General features: G+C 38.0%; 1 annotated feature.

Moving 5' to 3' along the window:
• Positions 4520-4689: an enhancer, noted in NCBI's record as "active region_29482". NCBI's record gives its function as "activates an Ori minimal core promoter by ATAC-STARR-seq in GM12878 lymphoblastoid cells {active_cell/tissue: GM12878}" and the evidence as "EXISTENCE:reporter gene assay evidence [ECO:0000049][PMID:35858748]".

An 11645-nucleotide genomic window follows, 5' to 3' on the forward strand; every position in this document is an offset into this window, starting at 1 on the left:
ATTTCTGGTGCTGCATAGGTCTTGTGGTAATAGGTTTGGACAAGTTTAGTAATACCAGCCAGAGCTACACACCATTTCAAACCCTAAATTCCAACTATTGATTTGTTTCCATATTCTCCTACTACAGGTTGAGTTCTCCAAGAAGCAGGCTCTGAGACAGAGTTTAGTGGGAAGGATGTTTATGAAGTGTGCCCTTGAGGCCAACACCTGTGGAAGGGAGGAGAGGAAAGGGGAGAGAGAAGTCGGCCTGTGAAGCGGGCCCAGCTCAGGGCCCAGCTCCCATGAGAGAGGTGGGCTACTAAAACGGCCCATCAAAGTTGCCCTGTGTCAAGCCTAAATGGTCAGGCCTTCATACTCCTGCCTTTCCAGGGTCAAGGCTGCCCTGGGAAGGGTGTGCCTTAGGGCCCAGGAGTCTCTCTGCAGCTGAGGCATCTCCAGAGGAGCCCGCAGCTGGAGGCTGCCTGCTGACAGCATTTTCAGCAGCAGGTATGAGGAGCCCTCCACTGAAGGGGGCTCCAGCGATGAAGCTCCCATATTCACTGCATGCCTTAACATTCCAGAAATGTGCTCTGTGTGTCAGGCCTATGCTGGGGCATGTTCACATTTGTTATATCATACAATTCTCACAACACTCTGAGGTATGTATTGTGTTTTGCATTTTACGCGAGGAAACTTGGCTTGTGTTTGTTTTTCCCAATGAAAACCTAGCATGGGGCAATATTTCACAGGTGGCCAACTACTTGGAGCAGTCTTCCTGCTTATGTAGAGGAAGAGAGCCAACTCTTTATCAGGGAGTGTAGGAAATTTGGACTCGATGTTCCGCTTTTAACTTCCTCTTGTATCTTAGGGCCATCACTCTTCTCTCCTTACTGTCATTCCTGCTTTCATTTTAGTTTATAATTTTAAAAAGAGGTATAAGTTGAAACAAGACTAGTGAGAGCTATAAGGAATTCTCATTTCTCTTTTCCTGTTAAGATTTTGGCAATGGGGTAGGTTATCTTGCCCTGATAAATATAAGTAGGATTGTACCAAGAGAATTGATATCTTACTTCTCTGCTTCCATGCCCCAGAGTTGCTTCCCTGCCTTTCATTGAATTTCTCATTAGTCAGCAACTGATGTCCCAGCCACATGGCACATAGAGGTGACTCAATTCATTATCTGATGATCTGGAAAGTCAACACCGGCAGGGCAGTGCTCAAGTATCATTAAGAGAAGCAAATGGGTACCTATTAGAACTTTGGAAGACATTTCTGCTAGGGAAGTGGTGAACACAGCTTTCTCTTTGAGCAGTTTGACAGGGAGACTGAAGAAAGCCAGATATCAAGAGAAAACAAGTGGGAATGAGGCCAGCCCAAGGTCGCATGAAACAAGAGGAAGATGACAGGAGCAAACTTCAGGACTGGCTCTCACATCAATTTATGAGACTGAAGCCAGCATTTTGGGCCACGGTTTCTTTCTCTGCAAAACTTCCTCAAAGCTCTGTGTTTCTACAGCGTCACTTGAAAAGAGAGGCAGAGCCAATTTTTTTTTTAAAAACTACATGCAATCATAAAAAGAGGAAGTAGAGGGATTGATGAAGTGTTCCTATTACTTCGGTTCTTCAAATCATGTGAATCTGCTAAGACAGTCAAATTTGTTTCATATTAAGATTTGATGACCATTTCTACTGATGAGGGGAGGGAGGATTGTTCAGTATTTCAGAAAATGAAGACCTCAAGTCAGTTTTCTTTTGGTGAGTTTTATAAAGCTTAGCCTTGTGGTGGCCATCTTTATACTTGGAAAGGGTGAAACTGACATTTTCACAATGAAACTTCTGAAGAAGTTGGCCCATTATAGGGAGAATTCTATATTCCTGGATATAGCAGATTATGGCTCACATTTAATAAAAATACTTTGTTGGCACAAATAAAAAGACGACAGTATAGTAATTCAGATGAGCAAAGGCACAAGAGGTGGAATTAATTTTTTAAAAATACAAAGATGTGGACCTCACAGAGACTCTCTGCTATGACGATTGAAAGGAAATGGAGGCTTCTACTTTTTATTTAGTAAAAGTAATGTCAATGAGCTTATGGACGTTAGTGTGGTGCCCTAGCTTCAGATTCACTAGCTCCCAATTTGCTAGCTATGTGTCTTTGGGAAATCTACTGAACCTCTTTGAGCCTTGGTTTCTGCAGCTTCAAAATGAAGATAATATTAGTACCTAGCCTTCTGAGGATTAAAAGGGCCTGAACAGTGCCTGACACAAAATAGCAGTTCAAAAATAGAAGAATATAAATCTGAAATGAATGCCTTCATTCTTACAAAGCCATTCTGAAAATGATAGCAATTACAGGGCAGATAGAGATGCAAAATGAGGATGTCTGACGAATGTAACTAATGTCATCCACAAATTGAACTGTGCAGATTTTAGCACAGAGAAGAGAAGCCAAGACTTGAAATTCCACATTCTACTCATGATGCCATTTTATGCCGGAACTCCAAAGCTTCATTACTACTTCCTGTCATTTTAAATATTGCACTAATTACGACGGCCTCTAGGAATGAATTAACAAAATTTCCTAGATTTGTGAGTGTAGAAATCACCTTATTTTTACAAAGATTTTAAATGGTTACATTGTTGGCAGATACACAGACAACAGGATATTCACGTAATTGCCTCTTTTATCTTAGAAAAAAAGGTTAATCAAATGCCCTGTCTGATGAAGAGATAAAAAAAACAACCCTTACTGTTTGTGTTTCTTTTAAAAATGCTTTCCTGGCATTATCAGTTGGTTGATTCAAATGAGACCTTATCCTGTGGGCAATGAACCATATTCTTTCTGTCTAACTGAAGAAATAAAAATATATTCTTTTTTACCCCTTAGGGCCATTTTTGCTATTAAACTGTAGTATTCTATGCTCTACCTATTCTGAATTATCCAGAATGGAGAGTTTCTTTTGGCGCTTTCCTTTCTGCTTGTTGCTTAAGCAGTGTTTTTTGTTGTTGTTGTTGTTTTGTTTTGTTTTGTTTTTTGATGTATAAATATGTATGTGTGACTGCGTGTATGAATAAAATAGTATAATAACACTTCTCCTCAAATGAGTGCAGTGATACAGCAAACTGACCTTTCAAGAACTTAGTCAAGAACTAACAAATAAGTAAAACAGACCTCTTAGTAGCTAAACCAGATAACACTCAACCCTTGCACAAAAGCTGATTCACTTTATTATAGACGCTTTCTAGACCTTTTTTTGACAGAGTTTTGCTTTGTCGCCCAGGCTGGAGTGCAGTGGTGCAATCTCGGCTCACTTTAGCCTCTGCCTCCTGGGCTCAAGGGATTCTCCCGCCTCAGCCTCCCAAATAGTTGGGATTATAGGCACCCGCCACCATGCCCAGCTAATTTTTGTATTTTTAGTAGAGACGAGGTTTCACCATATTGGCCAGGCTGGTCTCGAACCCCTGACCTCAAGTAATCCACCCACCTTGGCCTCCCAAAGTGCTGGGATTACAGGCGTGAGCCACCACACCTGGCCCTAGACTCCTATTCAGAGCTTATTTATTTGTACTCAACACACATACAGTTCTTATCAACATTGTTATCTGCTTTCACTCCTATCCCCAACAGTTCACAACAGATTAGAAGCAGCAGTTTAGAAATGTTGTTTTGGGAGAGTATATCCACGGGGGGAGTCACTGCTGAGAGCTTATAGGAGGAGGGAGAAAGAAAAATTATAAAGCAGTCATAGAGATTCCAAAAGCACAGTCATCTAGCACCATTTGGTGTAGGGGCAAATAAACTCTGAGGGTATCAGTTTTCTACAGAAGAGAATAATCATTAGAATTCATAATTCCGTTCAAATCCCAGATCAATAAAGGTAAGATTATGCTTAGCTACAGAAAATTCAAGATGGCGTGTAATAAAATTTCAAAAGATTTCAATCCAAACTGATGAAAAGAAATAGAAACAGGTTTATTGAGGCATAATTTACCAGGTGTGTATTTGTAGGACTTTTGTACACTTTTTGTTCTGTAACCATAGTATGTAGTCCTTTGTCTGGCTTCTTTCATTAAGCATAATGCTTGAGATTCATCCATGTGAGCTGGTTAAAATTAAAAGAAGAAGTTTTGTGCTTAAACCTGGAAGACACATCACCTAAGATTTTCTGATAACTGAGATTTGCTCTACAGGTAATATAAAAATAGTGAGTTCTCTTAAAATAAATCCACACCATGGGAAAACAGGCAGCAGCGTTCACCTTTCTTATAGTAGCCTAAGTTTTTCCTTCTCCCCTGTTCTCCTTGTCAAACAAACACAACAGAAAACATATAAGCTCCCAGCATATTGTCTGGCATTCAGTAGGTGTTCAATACATAGTCATTCCTTTCCTTTTCCTTTTTCTTCTGTTTATATCTTGCTTTCCCTTTTTTCCACACCCTTTGATACTCTCCCTTCAGGCTGCTTTATAGGTCAGCTAATATGAGTAATTATGATAAGAGTTGCTCATTATTGCCCCAGTTTCCTTGACTACTAAGAAGTGCTGGGCAAATGTTAGTTTTTTACCAAGCCTCAGCGACTTAGTCACCTGTTGATGAGTTATCCAAAGAGAAACAGAGCTGACGGTCTTGGCCTTTCATACTATATTTATTTACACATATGTGTCACACCCATTTTGGGGTGCCAACCGAATTTCCTCTCCTTTGCAATTGCCCTTGCTGAAGGGAAGGGCACAGACAGCCATGTTTGTACTGTGTAACCCTTGGCCTCAGCTGATTGGGCTATAGACACCTGATTCAGGGCAGCCAATCATAAGGTGGGCTGGCTTAATCTCTCTTGATCATCTCTTTTGAGAACTGAAACAGAAGAACCCAGGTAGAGACTCCATGGAGGACTCTTGAATTGAAAATTCATCTAGAGCTGGCTTTCAAAAGTGAAAGCTGAAAGAAACTGAGGTCTGAATCATTCTTGCTGAGAGACCTTTGGGACCCATGAGAGACTCCAGAATTAGTCTTTTTCTGACTTGCTGGTGGCTGCCTCCTCATGGCCTGATAAGACTATGCTCCCTCCTTGGATGTCTGCCTGCACTATTGCCTGTTATGTCCCTACTGTCATCCTTTCCCTTTTACTCATGCAAATGTGAATTGGTTCCAGTTTACTGCAACCAAGCAATGTCTATTAGGACAATGGCCTTGCAGTTCAGACTCTTCTTTGCCTTTTTTTTTTTTTTTTTTTTTTTTTTTTTTTTTTTGAGACAAAGTCTGTCTCTGTCGCCCAGGCAGGAGTGTAGTGGTGCAATCTCTGCTCACTGTAACCTCTGCCTCCTGGGTTCAAGTGATTCTCCTGCCTCGGCCTCCTGAGTAGCTGGGACTACAGGTGTGCACCACCATGCCCAGCTAATTTTTGTAGAGACGGGGCCTACAAAATGTTGGCCAGGCTGGTCTCGAACTCCTGACCCCAAGTGATCCACCTGCCTCGGCTTCCCAAAGTGCTGGGATTACAGGCATGAGCCACTGCCAAGCCTCTTTTTTTTTTTTTTTTAATCTCTGATAGAAATGTATTTATATATAAAAGTCTTTATGAGACGCATACCTATTTCAAAATTGCAATTTAATGAGTGTATTAGTTTCTTATTGCTGCTGTAACAAATTACCACAAATCTCGTAGCTTAAAACAACATTAATTTATTGTCCTACAGTTTCAGAGGGCAGAAATCAAGTATCAGTGTCACTGAGCTAAAGTCAAGGTGTTGGCAGGGTAGAATTCCTTCCGGAGGCTTCAGGGGTGAATTCATTTCCTCAGCTCTAGATCACCAGAAATCATCTGCTTTCCTTGACTCATGATCCTTTCCTCACATCACTCTTAATTTCTTCCCTTCATTCAAACCTCTTGCCTCTGTTATCACAGATTCTACTGTCTCCTTTAACCTTCTTGCCTTCCTTTTATAAGGACCCTTGTGACTGCATTTAGGGCCCACTCAGGTAGTCCAGGATAACCTCTCCATTTCAAGATGCTTTGTTTAATGACATCTGCAAAATTCCTTTTGCTATACTGTGTAGGGTAACATTCACAGGTCCTGGGGACTAATTTGTGGATATTTTTAGGGGTTATTATTCAGCCTATTCCAGTAAGTTTTTTTATTAAGTGTTACAGGGTCAAACTATATCAGGAGGAAAGATGTATTACTGGGGTAAGTAGAGCTGAGTGAAAAATGGAGGAGGAATTAAGGGACAAGCAGCCAGAGGGCAGATGTGGAGTCTTACAGATTCTGAGTGCCAAAGGCTAGCAGGGGGGAAATAGAAGTATACTGAAAAGTTCTTACGTGTAAAGTAGTCTATTACTTGAAGATAGACCGTGGTAAGTTAAAGAGGTGTACTATTAACCCTAAAGCAAACAATAGAATAACAAATAACTTCAGCTAATAAGCAAACAAAAAAGATAGAACAGCATCATAAAAAAACCTCAATCCCAAAGAAGGCAGAAAGAGAGGAAAAAGGGAACAGAGAACAGATGAGACAAATAGAGGACAAATAGCAAGACAGTAGATTTATATACAGCCATATCAATAATATGATTGAGTATAAATGGTCTAAGTAACCTCAATTGAACTGCAGAAATTGTTAGATTAAATTTTTAAAAACTCAGCTATATCAGAAATATGAAGATGGTATGTCACTTGCATTTATCTGATTTTTTATTATTGTTTATTTTCAAATATGGTTAAGCATTCTAGATATACCTTGAAGTACATTTTGTACTGAAAATTTACTCATCAGGTGTAGTGTAGGTGTATATTTATTATTACAAGTTTGTAAAATCCGTTAATTTTAAATAAAATAATTATTAAGAATTCTAAAATAGTTTGCTGAGAATGATGGTTTCCGCACATGTACCCTCGAACTTAAAGCATAATAAAAAATAGAAAAAAAGAATTCTAAAATGGATGAAGAAATAAGTGTACAGATGATAGGATATTAAGAAAATGTGTTAGCTCAAAACTTCAGGGACTTCGTGATATTCTTTTTTAGTCAACAAATGTTTATGAAAATATAAATAATAGTATAAGGAGAAAGTCTAAACTTATATATAACAGCATTTATGATATGTTGCCCTCAATCCCTACATAATGAAAAATACAAGGAGCATAAAAATATGAGGAAATTGTGCTAGAAAAAAATGAATGACACAAAAATATCTTGCTCTTCTATCAGCTTCAAGCTGAAGGTGAGCGTTTATTGAATATCCCAAATTATTGTTCCTATATTATAATGGTGACTTTAAAACTTCGACTGCTAAAACTTTTAATTATAAAATTATAATTATAGTTAAATTTTGGATAAAAGTTGATTTATTCTTGTATCCCTGAAGTTTATTCTGTGATAGTGAGATTCAGTTTCAGACAAGTATCAATTTTAATACTCAGCCATTTAACATTCATCTAAAACAGGTATTCAGTGTGACTTTATGTGTGTCTATGTCCATATTCTGTTTATAAAACTAAACATTATCATAAAAATATGAAGTTCCCTAAGTCTCTAATATTCTTTTATAATGTGATTTTAAGTAAAATCAAATCATTAGACTATATCATAGTTTAAATTATTTTATTGTTGGCCAGTTAGTTGCTTTCCAGATTTCTGAGTATTTATAAATGTGCTGAATATCTTGTTCATATATCTTTGATCTTATCTCTGAATTTTTTCCTCTCCAGAAACCCTGGGCTACTTTCCATGCCTCTGTCTAATGTATAAGAGTGAAATTCTTATTTCAGGCCATTTTTTCTAAACCCTTGCCAACGCTGACTATTATTAGTTTTATAATTTCTGACAATTTGATAGGCAAAACTGGCATCTCATTATTAATTTATTTTACAGTCTCTTCGGTTACTTGGTCCAATTTCTTCTTTTGTGAAGTTTCTATTTGTGGCCTCTTCCTATTGTCCAATTGGTGTTAGTGTTTTTCATGTTTATTTATAAGGGTTCTCTGTTTATATAGTAAGGATATTAACATTTATTCATTAAAAATGAAAAATATCAGCTTAGAAAAGCCTTCTGTATTCTCATATGCTAGCTACTTTGATAGGCTTGGATGGAGTGGGTGGAGAGAGAATGCGAGGGTGTTTACTGGGAACATTATTAGTGGGGAGCATGTTACAGTGAGCGGAAATTCAGTTCACCCTCTATACACCTCCAGACTGATTTTCCTAAAAATAATACTGTCAACATGCCTTCTGCTCAAAATCTCCCCATTGTCTTCATCAGCCATCTACCAAAGCATAATTTTATCAGCCAGGCACCAACATTTCTCCATATTTGGGCCTCAAGTATTTATTTTCAAATTGTGTCCAACCCAACCCAATCCAACCCAGCTCTGTCTAGACTAGTCTAATGTGTTAGGTGTTGAGGATACAGAGATGACAAGGTCTCTATCTTCAAAGTGCTTGCAGACAAGGAGGGAGGGACAAATAAATAGATTTCTGACATAAACCTCCTGTTAGGAATACATAAAAGGCATTATTGGGAAAGAGGGGACAGACAGCCTGGCTGGAAGAGACGGGTCAGGAAATCTTACCAGAAAAGAGGATGGCTAACATGCATCTTGATGAATGGACAGTTTGTCAATCAGTCAAAGACAGGTCATGGTGGAGGGGGAATAGTTTAAGAAGAGGGAAGATCAGGTGAGACTCAGTTCAGGTCAAGTGGAGGGATATGGGAGAAGTGGTCAAAGATGAGGTGGTGGGCAGGGTTCAGAGAGACTACTGCATCAAGGGGGTTGCGTTTTAACCTCAGAGTAGTGGAGAGTAATTGAAGAGTTATGAACAGAAGACTGTCTGATCAGGGTTATGCTTTAGACAAATCACCCTGGCTGCACTCTGGAGAATGAATCAGAGGGGAAATACTTAGAGGGACTATAGGTCTGGGTTGGCCTGAGGCAGTTTTGATTTACACCTGTTGTCCTGGGATTCTGCCCAGTTTAGCATTTGCTGTAGGTTTTTCATTTTTAAATCAAGTATTTTTATTAATAAGCATTAAAACAAGTTGGGGCAAATTTGGTAAACCTCCATTTAGTACTTTCGTTTTCTGTCATAGTCTTATCTAGTATTGAGATGAATATTCACTGAGCAGACGTCTTTATCATGCAGTTAAATCTGGAATAAAACCAATGAGCCTGCCTCTCTTCTCCCTGCCCTTTCCAGATGCAAGGTGGTTAATATCTGCCTCTCAATGAAGGGGAACATGCAGGTTGTTCCCTGATAAGACCAAGTGGTTCTGACATTAGCAGCAGGGGTGATCAAAGTCCTTCTGGTCTCTGGTGGTGATGGGAGAAATATTTGAAGCCACTGTTCCTGCCAGCCTCTTTGTCTACCAGCCAGTTGCTGTGACTCATGCTGCAGCCTGAGACATATGTGAATCTGCCTAGGCTACCTCTTGGCAGTGTCAGTGAGAAACATGGAACAACATAGGTTAGATGTATGTGAGGTATATGCAGGAAAGAAAGGCTGAGCAATTATGCTATGGAGGATAGAAAGAGTCATCTCAATGCTTTTCCCACAGGGGTTTTATCATTTATTGTACAACACGAACCTATATCTATTTACTTATTTATTGTATTGTTAGCTAATGCTTATTTTTTTGTTTTTGCAATAAATCCTTTTGGCAGCAATGAACTCAAGGCAATGTTAAGCAAAAAATGAAATACTGAATTCTCACCTCTCAAGAACGTTGATGTTGAGGGTGTAATCTGCACAAAGTGTTTGTGGACATTTATCACCTGTCATGGAGGCCATAGAAATGTCACTGACCTCATGGAAAACAGAAGGCACAAAGCTGCTGAAGAAGCATTATTATCTGCTTCAAAAGTAGTTGTCACCATGAGAAGACTGCCTGGAGATGGTGATTTACCACATGCAGCTGCAGATGGTGTGTTCTGGCTGCCCCTGGCATTTGTGGGCCTGGGGCAAGAGGACAAATGAAAGCCTACATTCCATTAGGTTTAAATATTTACAAGTTATAAATCAAGCAAGCAAGCTGTTAAATAAAATATGCTGTATACTCCTATCTTAACAAAAACACCTTCATTATGACAAAAATTTTTAAAAATATGTAAAGCTATGGTTTTTATATGCAGTTGGCAAAAACTGAAAGATGACTGAACTTAAATATTGAACACATCTGAGTGTTGTCTTGATGGCTTGGCAAAGTTTAGAAGAGTAATACAAGTAAACTAATATGTAATTCATAAATTAATATATATTTATCCCATAAAATTTAGTGTTCTTTCCTTCATTTCAGCAAAATCATTAATATTTTTATATTCAAGATTTTCATATAATTTGCATTCTATTGATAGTAAAAATCTAAAGGATTAAAAACTAAAATCTAATTACATTCAAAAGTATAAAATTTGAATTCATGTTCATCCAAATGTGTAAATTAAAGTTAATTTAAAATATTAAAAAAAGTGACTTTTCATGTTCTTAAAAATATTTTTCTTAGAAAATATTACAAATTATCAATTAAAATAAAAGGTAACATGCAAGTTATAATGCATATCATGAAATTTTAAAATCAAAATTAAATAAAGGTGAAATTTTTTATTCAATCTTTGAAATTGAAATTAAAATCCAACTATATTAAGGAATTTTATAAAAATAAAACCATTCAAAATTCTGAGGTTCAGTGTCTGTCTAGTTGTCAGTTTAAAGAACCTGAAGCATGCTTCATCCATGTTACAGCTGGATTTATATATACTTGTACATAAATATATAAAACTAAATAAATGTATGTATATGTGGACACATACATTTAAGAATAATATGAACTGTTTAATATTGGAAAATATTACAAAGAGGAACTAAATCATTAGTATCTCTGGAATCAAGAAGTGCAACGAAAAGAAAAGCAAGGTGCTCAGCAATAATGGAAAATGATGCTTGGTCGTGAGTAAATCCATGGCATTCTCTCTATCTGTGGGGAAACACATTTGACAAGTTAATTAATTTCCTTTTTCTCTTATATAAGTGTCTCCACTGCTCACCTCCTCCTTGCACTCTAAAACTGTTTCTGTCTCTGATTTCAGTAACAGCATTTGGACGCAGTTGCTTTTTCTTTCTAGAACACTGGGAAGGAGTTGTGGAAAAAAGATTTCCGAGCTTTGAAAAGTATGTCTTGAGTGTGGACGTTTAGGGTGTTGGTTCGCAGTCTACCAGCACTGAATTTGGGATCTTCAGTGACAGAACTGCCCATCAGTTTTTAAATGTACTTATTTTTTGATGTGTGTCTGTGATATGCAAGCCTCCCTAGAGTTCGGGACCCAGCAGGGGTCCTCCTTGTCCTTGTCTAAGGGTATGTACAAATCACTTCATGCAGCATATATTTTCATTGAGCTCTACTGGCTGAACTTTATTTCAGGTTTTTCTTGTGCACAAGAAAAAGCTCATCATCACTGGTCATTAGAGAAATGCAAATCAAAACCACAGTGAGCTACCATCTCACGCCAATTAGAATGGCAATCATTAAAAAGTCAGGAAACATGCTGGAGAGGTTGTAGAGAAATAGGAATGGTTTTACACTGTTGGTGGGAGTGTAAATTAGTTCAACCATTGTGGAATACAGTGTGGTGATTCCTCAAGGATCTAGAACTAGAAATACCATTTGACCCAGCAA

This window comes from Homo sapiens, chromosome X, assembly GCF_000001405.40.
Source record: "Homo sapiens chromosome X, GRCh38.p14 Primary Assembly".
In the NCBI taxonomy this organism is placed as follows: domain Eukaryota; kingdom Metazoa; phylum Chordata; class Mammalia; order Primates; family Hominidae; genus Homo; species Homo sapiens.